The sequence below is a fragment of the Homo sapiens genome, chromosome 5, assembly GCF_000001405.40.
Source record: "Homo sapiens chromosome 5, GRCh38.p14 Primary Assembly".
NCBI classification, from domain to species: Eukaryota; Metazoa; Chordata; class Mammalia; order Primates; family Hominidae; genus Homo; species Homo sapiens.
This window is the reverse complement of record NC_000005.10, coordinates 140,309,552-140,331,356: the sequence shown is the minus strand read 5'-3', so window position 1 is coordinate 140,331,356 and position 21,805 is coordinate 140,309,552. Positions and strand designations below refer to the sequence as shown.

General features: G+C 45.9%; 3 annotated features.

The window, feature by feature from the left end:
• Positions 7,437 to 8,636: an enhancer, noted in NCBI's record as "MED14-independent group 3 enhancer chr5:139702306-139703505 (GRCh37/hg19 assembly coordinates)". NCBI's record gives its function as "activates an origin of replication core promoter dependent on BRD2, BRD4, P300/CBP and CDK7 cofactors, and independent of MED14, by STARR-seq in HCT116 cells {active_cell/tissue: HCT116}" and the evidence as "EXISTENCE:reporter gene assay evidence [ECO:0000049][PMID:35650434]".
• Positions 9,450 to 9,519: an enhancer, noted in NCBI's record as "active region_23267". NCBI's record gives its function as "activates an Ori minimal core promoter by ATAC-STARR-seq in GM12878 lymphoblastoid cells {active_cell/tissue: GM12878}" and the evidence as "EXISTENCE:reporter gene assay evidence [ECO:0000049][PMID:35858748]".
• Positions 9,550 to 9,599: an enhancer, noted in NCBI's record as "active region_23266". NCBI's record gives its function as "activates an Ori minimal core promoter by ATAC-STARR-seq in GM12878 lymphoblastoid cells {active_cell/tissue: GM12878}" and the evidence as "EXISTENCE:reporter gene assay evidence [ECO:0000049][PMID:35858748]".

Below are 21,805 nucleotides of genomic sequence, written 5' to 3'. Positions count from 1 at the left end.
CAGTCATGGTGATATGTGGCTGTAGTCCCAGCTACTTTGGAGGCTGAGGCAGGAGAATTGCTTGAACCTGGCAGGTGGAGGTTGCAGTGAGTGGAGATCGCGCCATTGCACTCCAGCCTGGGCGACAGAGTGAGACTCCTTCTCAAAAAAAAAAAAAAAAAAAGATATGCACAACATTAATCCAAGCATTATTTATAATAACTAAAAACTGGAAACCATCCAAATACCCATCAGTATTTGATGATAAAAATGAATAAATTGGGGATATATCTATACAGTGAAGTACTAAATAGCAATAGGAATGAGTTGCAAAACATATTGCTCAGTGAAAGAAGCCAGATTCACAAAAAAGTATATACTGCGTGATTCCATTTACTTAAAATTTAAAAACAGGCAAAACTATGGTGAAAAAAAATCAGGAAAAAGACTCCCATCGTGATCAGTAAAGACTGGAAGAGAGGGACTTCTGGTGTTCTGATAAGTTGTGCCATGGTTGGGATGCGGGCTACACGAGCGTATTCACTTTGAGAAATTCACCAAATATGAATTTTTAGGGCCAGCTGTGGTGGGTCACATCTGTAATCTCAGCTCTTTGGAAGGCAGAGGCAGGAGGATCACTTGAGCCCAGGAGTTCAAGGCCAGCCTGGGCAACATGGTGAAACCCTGTTTCTACAAAAAATAAAAAAATTAGCCAGGCCAAGCGCGGTGGCCCACACCTGTAATCCCAGCACTTTGGGAGGCCGAGGCAGGTGGATCACCTAAGGTTAGGAGTTTGAGACCAGCCTGGCCAACATAGTGAAACCCCGTCTCTACTAAAAATACAAAAATTAGCCAGGCGTGGTGACAGACGCCTGTAATCCCAGCTACTTGGGAGGCTGAGGCAGGAGAATCTCTTGAACCTGGGAGACAGAAGTTTGCAGTGATCCGAGATCGCACCATTGCACTCCAGCCTGGGCAACAGAGTAAGATTCCATCTCAAAAAAAAAAAAAAAAAAAAAAAAAAATTAGCCAGGCATGATGGTGTGTGCTTGTAATCCCAGCTACTTGGGAGGCTGAGGCAGGAGGATCACTTCAGCCTAGGACGTTGAGGCTGCAGTGAGCTGTGTTGTACCACTGCACTCCAGCCTGGGTGACAGAGTGAGGCCCTGTCTAAAAAAAAAAAAAAAAAAAAAATTTAAAAACTTGAATAGGGAACTCCTTTGCTATTTGCATTGCATAAAGTTCTATGAAGTACCAATGTATTATCTGTGGTAATCAGAGAGAATAATAAAGACATCAGAAATAACTGGAGTAGTGAGTTACTTTGAACTCTCCTGGGGCTCCCTTTCCTGCTTCCAAGCTTTCAGTCTCAAGCTCTTGTCCTGAGCTGGGCTTTTCCAAGCACACTTTGTTTCTCCAGCTAATGTTTCCTGCAGGCTCAGGGCTTCCTGCCTTTCAACTGCTCGCTCCTCTACCCCTGTTTCTCATGGGAATTCCCTTCAGCAGAGGTCCTCTGGAGCTCCTCTGGGCATCTTCTTGGTTTATACAGTGGCCCTAGGAGCCTCTGAACCTGCAGCCATTTCTCAAGACGGGCTGTCAGAAGAAATCTGGCCCTCCCTGAGCACTAAAAAGCATCTACCTCTTCTCTCTGGGCTCCCCTTTCAGCCTCCTTTGAGAAACTTTCTTTTATAGTGTTCATAATAATCATTATTCGCTTAATAAACATTTAACATTTCATGGAATGCTCAGTATGTATCGCACACTGGGCTGCACACTTTACAGGCACTATCTCATTTACATCTCAACACAACTTACTGTATCCGTGTTATAGATGAGGAAAATTGAGAAGCAATTGAGAGATGTTAAATGTATGCCTAAGGAAAGTGGTAAAGGCAGAATGTAAACTCAAGGAGCCTAATTTTCAAACCTTCACTGTAAACACTAAGCTACATTCCTAAATGAGCTCTCTGTCCCACAGTTGTTTTCTCTTTTCCCATATCCAGAAATAATATGATGGAGAAATAATACTAACAGGAACTTAATGGCTGGACACAGTCGCTCACACCTGGATTCCTAGCACTTTGGGAGGCTGAGGCAGAATAATCACTTGAGGCCAGGAGTTCGAGGCCAGCCTGGGCAACATAGTGAGACCCTCATCTCTACCAGAAAAAAAAAAATGTAAACATTAGCCTGATGTGGTGGCATGTACCTGCAGTTCTAGCTACTTGGGAGGCTGAGGTGGGAGGATCCTTTGAGCCCAGGAGTTTGAGGTTGCAGTGAGCTATAATCACACTGCTGCACTCCAGCCTAGGCAACAGAGCAAGACCCTATCTCTTAAAAAAAAAAAAGAAAGAAAAAAAGAAAAAAGATCTTAGAGAGCAACTCCTTAGAGCTCAAGGGTTTCTGGGGCCAGAACAGTGGGTCATGTCTGTAATCCCAGCACTTTGGGAGGCTGAGGTGGGCAGATCATTTGAGGTCAGGAGTTTGAGACCAGGTTGGCCAACATGGTAAAACCCTGTCTCTACTAAAAATACAAAAATTAGCTGTGTGTGGTGCTGCACTCCTGTAATCCCAGGTACCTGAGAGGCTGAGGCAGGAGAATCACTTGAATTCGGGAGGCAGAGATTGCAGTGAGCCGAGATCGCACCACTGTAATCCAGTCTGGGTGACACAGCAAGACTCCATCTCAAAAAAAAAAGAGTTTCTTCTGTTGCCCCCAGTTAACAGATTCCTGAAAGGTGGCCCAAGAGGTCTTGTCAGGGGGAAGTGGAAGAAAACAGGAATGCAGACTGACCTAAACGTGTGGCTGAATCCAGCTCCCACTGTTATCAGGGAAGTGCCCTCACACGTGACACCTAACCTCTCTGAACCTGTCTCCCTGTCTATAAAATAGAGACACTAAAAATATTTACCTTAAAGAGTTGCAAAAATTTTATGTGTGCCTGGGCACAGTAGCTCATGCCTGTAATCCCAGCACTTTGGAAGGCCAAGGCAGGCGGATGGCTTGAGCTCAGGAGTTTGAGACCAGCTTGGGCAACATGGAAAAACCCCTCTCTACAAAAAATGCAAAAGCTAGACAGGCTTGGTGGAAAGCACCTGTAAGTCCCAGCTACTTGGGTTATTGAGGTGGGAGGATGGCTTGAGCCTGGGAGGTCGAGGCTGCAGTGAACCGTGATTGCAACACTGCACTCCAGCCTGGACAAGGGAGTGAAATCCTGTCTCAGAAAAATAAAAATTATATGTGTGAGTAAAGTGCCTAGCTCAGGGCCAGGCATGAGCTAGATACTCAGTTAATGTTGGTTATCTTAAGCGACCTGTCCAAGGAGCTAATTACTTACTGTAGTCTCACATCTAGGATTAAAACCCAGGCTTCTGATTCCCAGTCTACAATTCTTTCCTTATAAACAAACAATCCTTTTCTATCACTGTTTCATATTTTAATGTCAACTTCAGTTTCAAAGGAGCCCTAAAGGGTCTTAATAAGTATCTCTGGATTTAAGAAGCCATGGAACAGCAACTCTGTACAAAAATATCACTTCAACTCGGCTGCCCTGAAATTCTTCCCTTTGTCAACAGTGCCTGAAATTCAAGCTTCCTGTTTGAGAATGCTAATCCTCCTGGGAATAGCTATGCATTAAGAGGCTGGCATTCTTTGATGGTGTAATTCATTTCAGCTTCATTCATTCAGCAAATGTTTGTGGAGGTCTCCCTATCACCTTCCGAATGAGATCCATGCTCTGAAGGAGAGGGCATTTTGACAGAGAAAAGAAAGAGAAGTGATTTTGGAGCAAGGACATTAATTTATTCACCCAAAAAATTCACTGGGTACTGATAATGTGCCAAGAACTATTCTTTTTTTGTTTTGTTTTGTTTTGTTTTTCTGAGACAGGGTCTCACTCTGTCACCCTGGCTGCAGTGCAGTGCAGTGGTGTGATCACAGCTCATTATAGCTGCGACCTCCTGGACTCGAGCAATCCTCCTGAGTAGCTGGGACTGCAGGAACACACCATTACCCCCGGCTAATTTTTGTATTTTTTTGTAGAGACAGGGTCTCACTATGTTGCCCAGGCTGGTCCTGAACTCCTGGGCTCAAGCAATCTTCCCTCCTCAGCCTCTCAAAGTGCTGGGATTATAGGCATGAGCCACTGCGCCTGGCCGCAAGTACTATTCTTGTCACTGGAGAAGAACCACGGACAACACACGGCATGGACCAATAATACATGCATAGATAAAGAAACAGGACAGTTTCAGAAATAAGTAACATGCACATACACACACACCAGTGGTGTGCTCAAGAGTAGGTGGGTACAGAATTCATTTATGTAGGTGCCTCAAGGAAGCTCTCTCTGAGGAGGTACCATCTGAACCGAGACAGGAAGGGATCATGCAGGTGAAGGCCCTGAGACAAAAATAAGCAAAACGCCAGGCGCAGTGGCTCATGCCTGTAAGCCCGGCACTTTGGGAGGCCGAGGTGAGTGGATCTCCTGAGGTCGGGAGTTCGAGACCAGCCTGGCCCACATGGAGAAACCCCATCTCTACTAAAAACACAAAATTAGCCGGGCTTGGTGGCACATGCCTATAATCCCAGCTACTTGGGAAGGCTGAGGCAGGAGAATTGCTTGAACCTGGGAGGTGGAGGTTGCGGTGAGCCAAGATCGCGCCATTGCACTCCAGCCTGGGCAACAAGCGCAAAACTCCGTCTCAGAAAAAAAAAAAAAAAAAAGCAAAGCATGTGTGAGGGACAGAAGGGAGCCCCTGCAGCTGCAGCACAGTCATCAGAGGTTGAAGATGCAAGGCAAGGACCATATGGGGCTTTGTAGGCCATGACAAACAATTTGGAAGCCCATGCAGTGTTTTGAGTAGGAGAGTGATATAATTTAATTTATATGTTTCAGAAATATGACTCTTCTATGCAGAGAACAGGTTCTAAGGGGCAAAAGTAAAAGAAGCAAGACAAGGAGCTGGGCATGATGGCAGATGGCATGCCTGTAATCTCAGCAATTTGGGAGGCTGAGGCCAGAGGATTGCTTGAGCCCAGGAGTTTCAGACCAGCCTGGGCCACATAGCAAAACCCCATCTCTAAAAACTAAATAAATAACAAGACCAGTTAGGAGAACTTTGGAGTTATCTAGGCAAGTGGCGATGGTAGCCAGAATTAGGGTGGTAGCAGAGGGTGGGAAATGGTCAGATTCGGGATATGTTTTGGAGGAATCACCTGTAAGACATGCTAATGGATTAAATGTATGTGTTGTGGGGAAGAAGGTAATCAAGGATGACTTCTTAGATTCTAGTCTGAGAAACTGGGTATACGATGGCACTATTAAAATGGGAAGGAATGGGGGAAGAAGCAAGTTCACAGGGGCCATGAAAATCAAGAATTATTTAAGTCCATATGGGGTGGAGGGGACTACCGAGAAGGCAGTGCAAGAAAGGGGGATGCAAAGAGGAGAAAAAAGAGGTAGAAGAGGCTGAGCATGGTGACCCATGCCTGTAATCCCAGCACTTTGCAAGTTCGAGGCAGGAGGGGGGACCTCATCTCCTCATCTCTACAAATCATTTTTAAAAAGAAAAAAACTTAGCCAGGTGTGGTGGCACATGCCTGTGGTCCCAGCTATGTGGGAGGCTGAGGTGGGAAGATTGCTTGAGATCAGGAGTTCAAGGCTGTAGTGAGCTGTGATTGTGCCATTGCATTCCAGCCTGGGTGACAGAGCGACACCCTGTTTCAAAAAAAAAAAAAAAGGCAGAAGAGGTAAATAAAAAGGACCTGAAGACAGGAATAAATAAGGGCATCAGGAGGGTAGGTAGTATTATTTTCCCAGTTTAATGAGGAGGGCCCTGAGGCTCAGCGGGGTGAAATAACTTGCACAAGGATACTATTTTATTAGCTAATGCAATTTTGCTTGATGCCAACCTTGTGCAGGAGGGCCCAGGCTTCTCATTGCCCATGAACTTCTATCCTGGCCACCATTATCCAGAGAGGAGAGAACAAAGTTCTGTGTTTTCCTCCTTGCTGTGGTGAGGAACCCAGGCCAGACTGTGTTGCTCCATGGAGACCAACCCCAGAAAAAGAAAAAGGGCTAACGTCATCCAAGAGCAGGAGGAAGTGAGGGTTGCCCCTTCCCATGATTGGTTTCCAGAGTGTCAGGCCATCACCAAATTAATATAATTTGGAGGTTGTTGTGGTTTGATTTTTCTTTTTGAACTTTTTAAACTGCACATTTTTTCTTGATTGCCCCCTTGATTGATGGAGAAGAGAACAGGGACCTCTTAGCTCACTGCCACCCACACAGCTGTGAAAGAAGCCAGCTGCCCTCTTGCTCTTCAGAGAATATCCCTTCCTCCCTCCCTCTCTCTCTCCCTTCTTCCCACCCAGCATCTTGGCTATTACTAACCAACAGGGCATGTAAGGAAAAGGGCTCCTTTCAGGGCTGGAGTGCTATAGTTGGTGGATCACAGCCTGTGTGGGAGGCTTCCCCAAAGACATATGATGTGGGTGTAGGAACCAGACAGACGGGAGGAATTAAGTCACCCTTTTCCCCAACCCTAATTTTCTTGCCCAACCTAGAAGTCACTGGGTTGGTTTCCTTATACTAAGGCAGTAATTTTATTTCTACTGTCCTCTAGCTTTTGACAGTGGGCAGTCTTCAATGGGAGTGTGAAAGGAGGAAGAAGCTAGCTTGTTCTTTCTTCATGCCACTAGAGTCTGGGTTAAGGACAGCTGTGTAAACCATGTACTCACCCAGGGTTCTCTAGGAAAGCCTGACTTCTTTCTATTTTGTCGGTGGTACTTGGTCAGTTGGGCGTCCCTGGGAAGCATTGTGCTTGGTAAGGGGGGCCTGATCGGGTCCATTTGAGAGTAAGTGTTCTCTCCTGCCTGTGGATGTAAATCCAACCCCTGGAACTCCAGGCCTGAGAAGTGTGACCCAAGTTCAACCCCTTTTACAGGTGTGTGTTTGGACACCTTCCGGAGAAAGTCTGCTGCCCACCCCTGTCCCAGCTGGGTTAGTTTCTCCTCCCCTGTGCTCTCACACCTCTGAGCCTTGGACAATGCAAGGAAAAGGAGTCCTCTTCCCATAGCAGCTTTGCTGCTCCTCTCCCATGGCTTTCATCACACCGCATATTGTCATTGTTTACTCATCCATTTCTCCCACTGTGAACTCTTGGAGGTTGTGGAGTGTGTCCTTTTACACACTGTGTCAGCACACCAGAGGCTTTCCCTAAATGTTTGATGCATGCATGGATGGATGGACAATTGAATAAATGAATGAGTGCATGAATAAATGGATGAGTGAAATAGAGTAGAGGTGAAAGTTTCAGGCTCTAGATCAGACAAGCCTGGGTTTGAATCCTCGTCATGCCATTTTCTGGTTATATAATAATCTCAGATAAGTTATTTAACCTCTCAAAGCCTCAATTTTTTTATTAAGGTTTTTTTTGTGGAGATTACAGTGCCTGTAAAGCATTTATCACAGTGTCTGGCAGCATGGAGTAAGTACTCATACCCGAAAGCTTTTACTATTCTTAACAAGCTTTGCCAGTTTTTACCATCATGGGTCTTGTTTGCACCTCCTTTTCTAGATTTTTGGCACAGTGGGTCTTTGCCAGACTCAAGGGTTGGCCTGCAGGGCTGCCCACATGGGTACACGTTGGGGTCAGGCAATGTAAAAACAGCACTGAGTTTTGCTGAGAAGGGGAAACCGTGATAGGGGCCTGTCTAAAACCAGGCAAACAGGTCAACTGCCAACCCCATTGTCTCAGGCCTTCTCTGCTGGCAGCGTGCTCAAGAAAACAGGAACAGTGTGGCATTTAAGGTGCCTGGATGACAGCCACATCAAATATGTGACCTTTTCCTAGGAAGCCTGGTTTCCATGGTGAGCTCGTTCTCAATCCATGCTCTGTGGCTCTCAGCCCCCTCTGGAATGTGACAGCAGTGGCCCCAGCAGCCGGGTGGGGACATCTGCCTAGAGGTTGTCCCTCCAACATCTCCAGGGTGGAGGAGGAGCTGAGATAGCCCCCTGGGCTGTCTGATGCCCACACCAGCCTTCCAACCTGGAAGGATTTGCACTGAGGCCCTGACACTGCCTCCCTCTGCTCCCCTTCTCCCACACATGGCTCATGGCCAACTGGCTGCCAGCCTGAGCAGAAAGAAGGGGTCTCTTTCTGTGAACCCCCATCTTAGACAGAGGCCCTGACCCCCTCCACCTCATCTTGGCAGCCTGAGATTGGAGAGAGTGTCTGCCGCCCTGGCCTTGGCAGAGCGCGTGCTCAGCCCAGCCCCTGCAGCTGCCAGAACAGGAGCTGAATGCCCAGTGTGTCTGCCAGAGCTTGCTAACTTCTTTCTTCTTTCTCTGAGCTATGAAAACAGAGGCTGCTGAGGAATGTGACTGCTAACCTCCCCACCACCCGCCTCCCTCCTCCTGGGGCTTGTGTTCCCCCAACCCCCCAAGCTGGAGTCACATCAGAAAAATGTAGGGGAGGAAAGAAATCCCCCAATGTGTCATGACATTACATTTCCGCCTGGACCTCAGAAACAAGAAAAGTTAGAAGCAGAGGGAGAAGAGGGGTGGTGTGGTCATTGCCAGAGCCCTGTGACTGCTTCACCTCCTGCCTCCCTGGGGCAGATCACTTGCTCCCTTGGGGATCTGTCTCCTCATTAATAAATGGGGGCAGATCGGGCCTGGTGGCTCACACCTGTAATCCCAGCACTTTGGGAGGCCGAGGTGGGGGGATCATGAGGTCAGGAGTTCAAGACCAGCCTGGGCAACATGTTGAAACCCCGTCTCTACTAAAGACACAAAAAAAATTAACCTGGGCGTGGTGGCGCGCACCTGTAACTCCAGCTACTCAGGAGGCTGAGGCAGGAGAATCGCTTGAACTCGAGGGGCGGAGGTTGCAGTGAGCTGATATCCCACCATTGCACTCCAGCCAGGACGACAGGGAGAGACTCCATCTCAAAAAAAAAAAAAAAATGGGGGCAAATTGCTTTGACTCAGATGGCAGACAAACTCAGAATTACCTGTTTGCTGTCATTGAATAGCACGGATATCACTAAGTTGGTAATTATTGAGTGAGTGTACTGCTCACGCATACTCATTTAACAGACATACGGGGATTCCTCCTTTTTTCTGGAGGCTAAGAACACAAGGGTGAACAGGACCGAGGCCCTGCCCTCCGGGAACTTGCACTTGAATAGGAAAAATAGACAATTAAGTCACAAGAATCAAATGTCAAGAGAGTTGTGTTGGGCAATAGGAGGTGCCAAGTTGGCTGACCTGGTCCAAGGGTCAGGGAGGTCACTTCTTGGAGGAAGTGAAAATCAAGCTGAGGCCTGAAGGATGAGCAGTTGTGATGCAAGTAAAGAATGGGGGTTGAAGTATTCTAGGCCAGGGGAACAGCCAGAGTGCAGAGGGAGGATGATGTGAATGAGGAACCTAACTGGTGTGACAAGAGTGTACACAGCTGGCTTGGGGTCAGCGGAAGAGGCTGCAGAGACAGGCCAGGCCAGATCATGCAAGGCCTTTGAGACTGTGCCAAGGAGCTTGAACTGAATCCTCAGGGCGGTAGGGAGCCAGCCCTGAGTGTTAAAGTGAGTGTGGGTAGGGGTGGCATGCTTGGATCTGTTTTGGGGTGGATGACTCCAGCTGGAGAATGGGCTTGAAGGGTAGCTATAATCAAGCAGGGAGATGGGTTAGCTGGAGACTGTGGTGGTATTTAGGCACTGATGGTAGCAGCAGTGGAGAAGAAGAGAAGATATGAATTCAAGATCTATGGAGGAGATATGTGGAGGATGAGAGAAAGGGAAAAGGGCCCAAGGTGGCTCTGAGTTTTAGGCTTGCACGCCTGGGTGGAAAGTGGTGCCATCTTACTGAGATGGGCCACACTGGAGAAGGAGAAGCTGGTGCGGGTGAAAGTAGCAAGTCCAGTTTTGGCCACTCTAAGTCTGAAGGCATGACCACCATGTCAGTAGGGATATCCAGTGCATGGGTGTGGAGCTGAGTCTGGACCCCAGGGGAAGGCTCAGGCTTGAGTGAGGTCATTGGCCTGGAGAGAATAAGCAAGTGTATCATCAAGGTGGCCAGGCATGGTTACTCACTCCTGTAATCCCAACGCTTTGGGAGGCCGAGGCAGGTGGAAACCAGGAGTTTGAGAGCAGTCTGGGCAACATAATGAAACCTTGTATCTACAAAAAGTACAAAAATTAGCTGAGTATGATGGCATGTGCCTGTGGTGTCCTGGCTGAGGTGAGAGGACCGCTTGAGCCGCAGGAGGTCAAGCCTGCCGCGAGCCGTGATCACACCACTGCACTCCATCCTGGGCAACAGAGTGAGTCCCTGAATTAATTAATTAATTAATTAATTTATTTGAGACAGAGTCTCGCTCTGTCACCCAGGCTGGAGTGCAGTGACATGATCTCAGCTCACTGTGACCTCTGCATCCTGGGTTCCAGAGATTCTCCTGCCTCAGCCTCCCAAGTAGCTGGTATTACAGGTGCACGCCACCATGCCTGGCTAATTTTTGTATTTTTTAGTAGAGACGGGGTTTTGTCATGTTGATCAGGCTGGTCTCAAACTCCTGACCTCAGGTGATCTGTGCACCTCGACTTCCTAAAGTGTTAGGATTACAGGCGTGAGCCACTGCCCCCAGCCAAGAGACCCTGTCTTAAAAAAAAAAAAAAAAAAAAAAAAAAAAGAATGATGCTAGCTGCTCTAACAGAAAATTCCCCAGCCTCGATGGCCTAGCACAGTAGGTTATTTCTCACTCAGGTAAAATCCCAAACTGGTGTTCCTAATAAGTGAGCAACTCTTCTCCAAGTGGGGTTCAGGAACCAGGTCCTTCCAGCTTTTGTGTCTGCCATCTTTTTTTTTTTTTTTTTTTGAGACAGGGTCTAGCTCTATTGCCCAAACTGGAGTGCAGTGGTATGATCATAGCTCACTGCAACCTCTGCCTCCTGGGTTCAAGTGATTCTCGTGCCTCAGCCTCCTGAGTAGCTGGGATCACAGGTGTGTGCCACCATACTTGGCTAATTTTTATATTTTTAGTAGAGACGGGGTTTCGCCGTGTTGGCCAGGCTGCTCTCGAACTTCTGGCCTCCAGTGATCTGCCCACCTCGGCCTCCCAATATGCTGGGATTACAGGCATGAGCCACTGCACCCGACATCTGCCATTTATATTACACAGCTTCCAGGGTCACTGTGATGGGGAAAGGGCATAAGGGCATGGAGGACCACACATGGGAGAGTCTATCACTTCCATCCATATTCCACCAATAAAATCTCATCATGTGGTCACATCTAACTATAAGAGAAGTAGGGAAGTGTAGCCTAGCTGGGCACCCATGAGAAAGAGGAAATGTGTTTTGCAACCAACTATCCAGTCTCTAACACTGGAAGGCACAGGAGTGGATAAGATCACTTGATGAGTCCAGGGCTTGCACTCATTCATTTGTCCCTATTTGTAGGTGTTTACACAGATACAGGACAGACAGAAGTGAAGGTAAGCCACTTCCTCCCCTTCCTTATTGGAGACCAACAGGACAGGATAGGCCTCAACCCATTTTAGTCCCTCCTGCAAGTTGAGCAAACCTCTAGGGTGAAATGATTCCACGGTAGTTAGTTTGTTGGCTCTGACACTGGCCACTCCTGTCTCTTCCTTCAGATTGGCTGCCATTCACCCTCACTTTCCTTTCCTTCTCCTCAATAAGCACTTGTTGAGTATCTGCTATGTGTTGGGGCCCATTCTGGAAATGCAGCAGTGAATGAACCTGCGGTTCCTGTATTAGTTTATTTGTGTATTGTCTGCTTTTCCTACTAGAATGTAAGTTTCATAGGTAGAATCTGTGTCTTATCTTGTCTACCACTGTATCCCTAGCACCCAGAATAATGCCTAGCACATAGTAGGAACTCTGGAAAGAATTGTCAGATAAATGAATGGTTGAATGAAGGCCCTTTGGGAGTCTACATCTGTAATGAGTGAAAAGGGAAGAACATAGGTGACCTAGGTTCACCTGTGGCATAGTGACCTAATCTGGCTCAGGAAGTCAAGGGGGGTGGGTGTTCCTGGGGAAGAGATTTTTAAATTTTTATGTGTTTATTTGTTTGTAGAGACGGAGTCTTGCTGTGTGGTTCAGGCTGGTCTTGAACTGTTGGCCTCAAGCAGTCTTCCCGCCTGGGCCTCCCAAAGCACCAGAATTACAGGCATGAGCCACTGCACTCATCCTGGGAAGAGATATTTAAGCCTAGAGTTATGGATGAGTAGGTGACAGGCAGATGGAAGAGCATATGCAAAGGCCTGGCATCAAAAAAGTGCGTGGAGTAATAAAGTTCAGCGTGGCTGGGGCCTAGAGGGAGTGGAGGGAGCACTGCAAGATGAAACAGATGGGCAGGCAGGGACAGATACATATGGCCTGTGCGGAAGCCTCTATTTGTCCTGAGGGTGTGTCACTCAGCAGCTTCTTTGATATGCAGCCATTGTATTTCAGGTCATTGTTCAAAGAGGGCAATTTTTGACTTTATTATTGATTCTCACCTCACTGTCTCAATAATGTTTGAACTGGGGTCACAATTGAAAGTTATCTGCCTGGCCGGGTGTGGTGGCTCACGCCTATAATCCCAGCACCTTAGGAGGCCAAGGTGGGCAGATCACCTGAGGTCAGGAATTTGAGACCATCCTGGCCAACATGGTGAAACCCTGTCTCTACTAAAAATACAAAAATTAGCCAGGCATGGTGCCACATGCCTGTAATCCCAGCTACTCGGGAAGCTGAGGCACAATAACAGCCTGAACCTGGGAGGCAGAGGTTGCAGTGAGCTGAGATTGCGCCGCTGCACTCCAGCCCAGGCGACAGGGCCAGACTCCACCTCAAAAATAAATAAATAAATAAATAAATAAAAATAAAAAAAAAAAATCCCAGTATCTTTCTGACCCTGCACCCCATGCAGAGACCTCTTTTCTTTTTTAGCAAAACAGACACTGATACTCTCTTTGCTGAAGGGGGTGGGGAAACGAACAACTGTCTCCATTTATGGAAGATCTCATTTAATTATCACAACAGCCCTGGAAGCTTGGCATTATTATCCCCGTTTTTTAGATAAGTGCTAAAAGAAATGAGAATCTGCAATAAGGCTCAAGTGAAGTGCATCTCTCCAGACTAGAGGTTTTGAATAAAATGCTAGTCTTTATTGGAAGAGTAACAACTTGAAATGGCACTGGCAGGCTTCAGACTGGTAGAGTTTGAGAATGGAATTGCAAGGGAGCCAACAGTCAGATGAGTCAGGTTAGTCGAGCATCAGAAAGTGCTCATCAAGGACTTCCCGGATGCCCAGCCCAGCATTCCAGAAGAGCAAAGCCCTGTCTCCATTCTCAAGGAGCTAACAGTCCACGGGGGAGACACACAGACAAGACATGGTAGTTTCAATACGCTGTAAGAAGTTCTCACCGAAGAGAACAATTCATGAACCAATGCTAGGGGAGTCCAGGGACATCTATAAAGTTTACTATGTGCTCAGTGCTGAGTGGGAGCATGGGAGATGTACAAGAGCTAGCAGTTTAGATATTAACCCAATCTCTCTTCTTTTGACGCCCTTTCCTTTATTCCACCAACACCTATAAATGGCTGATTGTGTGCCAAGTATTAGGGATAAAGCAATAAATGAGTAGATACAGTATCCACCCTCAGTCTAATAGAGGAGACAGCTACTTAATAAATAATCATGCAGACCCTCAACAATACCTAGAAGATCTTTGCAGGGATGCAAGAGTGATAAGAGTATTTGCCTCTGGGAAGGAGAACTGAGAATCAGAGGGCCAGGAGCAGAAGCTAATTTTCTTTTCCTAGTATGCTATTATTACTGTCTGTATTTTATATGCGGGTATTTTATGAATTACCTTTTTTTAAGTGAAATTTAATAATCATCACACAAATAAATATGCCATTAAAAACTGTGATAAATGCCATGATGGAAAAGTTTAAGGTATCTGAGAGGGTAACAGGAGGAACTACTTTATTTTATTATCATTCATTTTTTGAGATATGGTTTCCCTCTGTTGCCCAAGCTGTAGTGCACTGGCTTGATCATGGCTCACTGCAGCCTTGACCTCCTGGGGCTCAGGTGATCCTCCCACCTCAGCCTCTGAGTAGCTGGGACTACAGACAAGTGCCACCATGCCCAGGTAATTTTTGTATTTCTTGTAAAGACAGGGTTTTGCCTTGTTGCCCAACCTGGTCTTGAACTCCTGGGCTCAAGCAATCTGCCCACCTTAAGCTCCCAAAGTGCTGGAATTACAGGCGTGGGCCACTGCATCTGGCCAGGAATTGCTTTAAGTTGAGGAGTCAGTTAAAGGCATTTTCATGAAAAGGTCACTGAAGTGAAGACCCACAGGTTTAAGTTGTAGGTGACCAGGCAGAGTGCAGGGAAGCATTCTAGAGGAGGACCCAGTGTATATAAATCCTGGAGGCGAGGCGATGCTTGGTGTGTTCCAGGAATCTGAGGAAACCAGTGTGATGGAACCACTCAGATGAAGGAAAATATCTTTTTATAACCCCAATTCATTCTATGAATGAATCCAGCACCTATGTTAGGCTGGAAGGGTGATGAAGACAGGGAGAGTATCTATTTTGTTCACTGCTAGAGCAGTACGTAGCATCCTGTAGGTAATTAAGTTCTTGTTGCATGCATAAATGAAGAAATTCAAACTATAAAAATGTCAAGTGGTGGATTTGCATTAATGCTCTACTGCCTAAGAGTTGGGGATTTATCGAATCCGAGAACCACTGGAGGGTAGAGTCAGGGAAACCAAGTATAGGCTAAACAAGTCACTGAAAGAGCTGATATGTCTGGGTATAAGCTGTGGTCACAATACAGTATAACAGAACCATGGCCTTCTGAATTCTATTGTTTTATTTATGGCTTGTTGGGTTTCAGCGCCCTCTCTTTACCAGGAATTCTAATTTTATCTTTACCATAAACACCTGAAGTGTTTACATCAGAATGGCTTTAAAGTGCCAAGTGCTGAGGTAATTTTTTCTTCTCCCTTCTAGGGAAAATAATAAAGAAAATTAATTAATATTAACTTCATTAATATTTTCATTAATTAATTTCATTAATATTTTCTTCTAGAGCTGCAGTTTCTAAGCTTGGCGAGCTTCTAAAAAGTGCAGATTCTCTGGGCCCCAACACATATCCACTGAATCCACCTCTCCAGTAGGAAGGGCCCAGGTATCAGTGCTTTTAAATCTCTTCTGGTAATTTTAATAATAAGCCAAGTTTGGAAGTGTCACTTTAGATTAGTGTTTCTTGGGGGTTTTTTGGTTTAGTTTTTGTTTTTGGTGGGGGGTGAGGACAGGGTCTTACTCTGTCGCCCAGGCTGGAATGCAGTGGCATAATCATGGCTCACTGCGGCCTCAACCTCCTGGGCTCAGGTGATTCTCCCACCTCAGCCTTCTGAATAGCTGGGACTACAGGCCCCGCACCACTATGCCTGGCTAATTTAAAAATTTTTTAGAGGCAGGGTTTTGCCATGTTGCCCAGGCTGGTCTTGAACTCCTGGACTCAAGTGATCCTCCCACCTCAGCCTCTGTGCCCAGCCTAGAGTAGTGGTTCTTAACCTATTGAGAGTTTGGGGCCCCTTTGAGATGCTGAGGAGATTATGTTCATCCTGATCCAGAAAAATACCTGGCAGACACAACATTTAGCATACACTGCCAAGGACATCATAGACATCCTATGGTATCTACGAAGTACCTAGAATTCCCAATGGATAGGCCAAGTCAGAAGGAACACCAAGTTTGTCTTGCCCCTGGGAAGCAGAGTCCTGGGGCTTTTTCTACCTCATCTTCTCTTTGTGCTCAGGGGTTGAGGCCCTTTTCTTTCTTTTTTTTTTTTTTGAGACGGAGTTTTGCTCTTGTTACCCAGGCTGGAGTGTAATGGCGTGATCTCGGCTCACTGCAACTTCCACCTTCTGAGTTTAAGCGATTCTCCTGCCTCAGCCTCCCAAGTAGCTGGGATTACAGGCACGCGCCACCATGTCTGGCTCATTTTGTATTTTTAGTGGAGACAGGGTTTCTCCATGTTGGTCAAGCTGGTCTCAAACTCCTGACCTTAGGTGATCTGCCCGTCTCCGCCTCCCAAAGTGCTGGGATTACAGGCGTGAACCACTGCGCCCGGCCCATAGCCCTTTTCAAGATCCACACATTTGAGTGCAACCAACGATAAGTGGCTACAAAATGGAATCTCATATTCCCAAGAAAAATGGAGCCTCCTGACTCCAAATTTGTCTCCTGTTTTGGGACCCAGTAGTCTTGCTGAATCCACCCAAGAGAGGCCACAGGGTAGAATGGAAGGAACTCTGGAAGAGAATCTGTGACTCCTGTGTTCTAGTCTTAGCCTTAACACCAATTTGCTGTGACCGTGGCAAAGCCCTTCTTCCTTTATAAGCTTCATTTTTCTCTGTAAAGTGAGGATAGCCTGGAAGAACCCAACAACCCATTCCAGCTCTCTGAGTCTAGAATTATTTTCTAGAATTTTTTTTTTTTTTTTTTTTTTTTTGAGACAGAGTCTCGCTCTGTCGCCGAGGCTGGAGTGCAGTGGCGTCATCTTGGCTCACTGCAACCCCTGACTCCCTGGTTCAAGCGATTCTCCTGCCTCAGCCTCCTGAGTAGCTGGGATGACAGGCGCGCCCACCACACCTGGCTAATTTTTTTGTATTTTTAGTAGAAACGGGGTTTCACCATGTTGGCCAGGATGGTCTCGATCTCCTGAACTCGTGATCCACCTGCCTCGGCCTCCCAAAGTAATGGGATTACAGGCGTGAGCCACCGCACCCGGCCTATTTTCTGGATTTTTTTTTTTTTTTTTTTTTGAGACGGAGTCTCACTCTGTCGCCCAGGCTGGAGTGCAGTGGCGCCATCTCGGCTCACTGCAAGCTCCGCCTCCCGGGTTCAAGCCATTCTCCTGCTTCAGCCTCCGTGAGCCACTGTACCCGGCCATTTTGTGGAATTTTTATACAGGACCCCATACTTCAGATGGCAGAACACAGTGGAGATGTGTGGCAAATATATGGACTAATGGAGTTCCTTGAAGAATTTGTTCCCTGATTCTTCATGGCCTTCTGCCCTAAGATTCTGATGTTCCAGAATAAGTATTCCTGCTAGTGACCTCTTATATTTTCTACTAATCACTGTGGTTAGAAACACAAAGACTTGGCCGGGCTCAGTGGCTCATGCCTGTAATCCCAGCACTTTGGGAGGCTGAGGCGGGCGGAGCACTTGAGGTCAGGAGTTCGAGACCAGCCTGGCCAACATGGCAAAACCTGAGTGCCTGTAGTACTAGCTACTCAGGAGGCTGAGGCAGGAGAATTGTTTGAGCCCAGCAGGCAGAGGTTGCAGTGAGCCAAGATCACGCCACTGCACTCCAGCCTGGATGACAGAGTGAGACTCTGTCTCAAAACAAACAAACAAAAAACCCCACAAAGACTTATGAGATCATGGAGACTACTTACCCACAGTCAGCCAAGCTTCGCCATCTTCTCAAACCCATGCAGAGGCATTTGACCTTAGCTAAGGGGACAAAAAGAAGTGGCAACTTTCCAGCCTTGGCAACATGGTACAACCCTATCTCTATAAAAAAATACAAAAATTAGCCGGGTGCAGTGGTGCATGCCTATAGCCCCAGCAACTTTTGGGGGACTGAGAGGGGAGGATTACTTGGGGCCGAGGAGGTCAAGGCTTCAGTGAGCTGTGTTCACACCACTGCACTCCAGCCTGGATGACAAAGTGAGACACTGTCTCCAAAAAAAAAAAAAAGATAACTTCAACCTCTTCTCAACAGTGACTGCTACAATTTGTCTTGAATGAAACAGAGAAAATCCTTAGTGTTTCTCATCTAGAAAAGGCAAAAACATTAAGTCTGGGGTTCAGCCCTTTTTGATGGGACACTCCACATCCAGTGATCCAAGAATTTCATTGCAAAGCAAGGTTGCCTTCTTGAGGTCCCTGACCACTGCTATATGGGGAAGACTAGGGGGTCACCATCATGAAGTTCATGTACTCAATGAAATGGAATTGACCTATTCATTAGAAGACAAATTCAAAAAAGTTGAAATTTTGGCAGCTAATGTATAAAATGAACATCTATTTTTTTTTTCTCTTTGTGACATCTAGTACCTCTTCCTTTGATAGTTATACTGTTCTCTTTTGGCAAGAGGATACCTTTCGCTTACCCTCAGTCTATGTCCTTTTTGGATAAGGATGATACCCCCTAACCTTCCTGGAATGGCCATATGACCTGCACCTGCCGAATCAGAGCAGTCCAGGCCTCTGGGCCTTGTGATTATTTCGGAGACGGGCATGTGACGCAAGCTATGCCAGGGAAATCCAATCCTGGAACTCTTCCTGAAACCCTAAAGGAGAAAGACATTGTCTCTTTCCACTGTGGAGGTTGAACTGGTCAACTGTAGGCCTGGAGTTGCCCGTGGCTACATGCGAGATTTAGCAATAAGGTGGTGATCTGGGGCTGTCTATTTTAAGTAACTTTTTTGCTTACTGGGTGCTACTTTTACTCATATTCTTCTAATTTATAAAAAGAACAATATTAACTTTTTTAGTTTCTCACAATTTTGAAAACCTTTATTTAAAAACATCTGGGGCTGCTAAGGTAGGTGCCCTGGGGAAAAGCCTTAATCACCTTGTCCTAGGTATGGCTCTAAAGATGGAAAAACATTCCTCTGCACCAGTGTTTTTTGGTGCCTATTTATAAATGTATGTGGAGTTTGTCCAGATTTCAACCCAACCCCATTGTATTCTTCTTCCTGTTCTAAAGGACCATGAACTTTTTCAGCTTAGTGAGCTGGAGTGACAGAGGCATGGATTCTCCCCTAGGCTTTTGGTTTCCTAATTTTATTCTTTTCCTATTTTTGGGAGAGTCTCTGCTTTTGGCTCTCACCTCTGGCAGGCCCCACTTTCTCTGATGAGCAACAAGATAAATAATCCAGTCTTTGTTATGCTCTGTTACCCAGCTTCATCTCTTACGCAGGTTTAAATCATCAGGATTGATCAAAACTATTCACTTTCTTTGGACTTTGCATAAACAGATTGAATCAGACGTGGCAAGGTGCCTGGGAAAAGCCACCATCAGTTCCTGCTAACGACTCACTTCCTCTCCCTGCAGTGTTTCCTATGACTGCTTCATTTGGTAGGCACGGTGGAAGCTCCTTTTCTCCCTAGTAAGGTCCCAGCCCTGAACTTACTTGGTCAGCAGGAAGGAGTAGCTGAGAGTTTCTTGGCAAGTGTGTCACCTGCAAAGGTTCCTCTGCCACTGACCCTAATCTGCCACTCTGCCTCTCCTCTTAGTTAACATGCTCCCCTGCTCCAGCAATGCCAGACAACTTGCGTTTCGCTGAAGGCACCAGGCTTTCACTTGCTGTGGTGTCTTGGCTTCTTCTAGGAATATCCTTTCTCCCTTCTTTGCCATATACGCCTATTTTTCTTGTAAGATTTCTGGGTTAGAGGCCCCTCCCCTGTGCTCGTCTGGCTCCTGGTATTGTCTTCCTTGTGGCAGAATTGTCATATTATTTTGTCACTTTCTGTTCATTTATCTGTGACCCCCCACCCCTGCCACTATACTGTGAATTGCTCTTTTATTTATCTGTAGGTCCCAAATACTTGATACGTAATAACAGACAATGTAAGCATAGGTGCAACTGTATGCCTGGAACTGTGCATTCATTATCACATTTATTCCTCATAAAAACCTATGAAACGGGTACTGTTATTACCTCCATTTTACAACTGAAGAGACTGAAGCTCTGAGAAGTTAAGCAGTTTTCCTTGGATGTCACAGCTAGTAAATGGTGGAGATGGGATTTGAAACTCTAAAGCGCATACTCTTAACCACCCTTCTAAACTTCCCCTCAAACTGAATGAACTCTTAGGGTCTATCCATGTCACAAAGTTGTGAAGATGAAATGATATGATGAATGAGAAATAGCTTCGTCAGCTGAAAACTTATGTCAAAAACTGCTAATTTCCCTTGAATATCTGTCCTCTACTCCCCTTTCGTGATATTTGTTGATATTTAAATGGGCGCACAGTTGCCTGTAATAATAAATGTCCTGGTATCTCTCGCAATCAGGAGTGGCCACAATTCTGTTTGGGTCAATGGGGTGTGAATAGAACCATGCTCACAACTTCTGGGATATGCCTTTAAAGGGAAAGTGTGAGCCTCCCCCTTTTTTTCTGTCTTTTCAGCTAGACTATGAACATGGTAGTGATGAGTCATCTTGGATCTTACGGATAAGATAGAAGGAGCCTGGGAACTTTGGCACTGTGGGACTCACATACTTGCCCTAGACTGCTTATGCCTAGTTGAGTATAGTAGAGAGAAACAAGCTTCTATCTTATTTTAGCCACTGCTATTTTGGATCTCTGCTATAGCAGCTGAACCTACATTCTCACTTATACAGTCTATTCACAAGTGGAAGGATTATTCTTATTATTCCTGTGGAGCAGCCTTGAGACTGCTTACAGACTATATTACAAAAATTAACTTTCCTGTCTCAGTAAAAGACATTAACATTCAACTAGTTTGTTCAGGTCAAAAAGCTGGGAGTCTTTTTGAAAAAACAGTTTTATTGAGGCATACCTGACATACAGTAAACTGAATATATTAAAGTGTACAATTTAATAATGTCCCACCCAGGAAACCATCTCTGCCATCAAGATAATAAATGCATTCGTCACCATAAAAGTTACCTCATTCTCTTTTGTAATTGCTTCCTTCTTTCTGCTTCCCAGTCCCTGATCCCATTGCTTGCTCCTATCAGGCAACCACTAATCTTTTCTTTTCTTTTCTTTTCTTTTCTTTTGAGACAGGGTCTTGCTCTGTCACTCAGGCTGGAGTGCAGTGGCATGATCACGGCTCATGGCAGCCTCAACCTCTTAGGCTCAGGTGATCCTGCTGCCTTGGCCTCTGAAGTAGCTTGCCCCACAGTTATGCACCATTACACTTGGCTAATTTTTGTATTTCCACTGATTTTTTATCTGTTTGGATTTGTTTGCATTTCCTATAACCTGTAGTATGTTACTATAGTATGTTACTCTATTTTGTCTGGTCTATTTTGCTCGGCATACTTTTTTGGAAATTGGAAGTCATCTTTGATGCCTTTCTTTCTTTCATTGCTCCTCTCAACACATACCCATCCCTTCATCAAGTTCAGTAATCTTGACCTGAATCCATCTACTTCTCCCTGTCTCCACTGCTATCATCCTCATCCAGACTACCACTGTCTCTCTCTTGGACTACTGCAGTAGTCTCCTAACTGGTCCTCCTCCTTCCACTCTTGCTCTCCCCAATCCATTCTCACCTAGAACCCACAATGTTCCCTTTCAAATGGGATCATATCATTCTCCTGCTTGAAATCACTCCGGTGGCTTCCAATCACACTCAGAATAACATTCCAATGCTGACTGTAGCTTACAAGGCCTTTCACGGTTTGGCCCCTGGTTCACCTCTCCAATGTCATCTTCTACCATTCTTCCTACTAATTCATGCTGGCTTCTTCGTTTTCATTCTTCAGATATGTGAAGTCTGTGACCACCTTAAACCCTTTGCTCTTGCTATTTATTCTTTTTGTCTGGAATGTTCTTTCCCAAGCTCTTTGCATGTTTGGTTCATTTTCATTCATTTTTTAGGTCTCATCTCAAATGTTATGGCCACCCAGAGAACTTCACACACCTAAATGGTCTCCACCCAGTCAGTCTCTAACCATGTTGCTGTTTTCTTCCTTAATAATACTTACTGATATCTGCTCTTATTTTGTATGTTTATTGTTC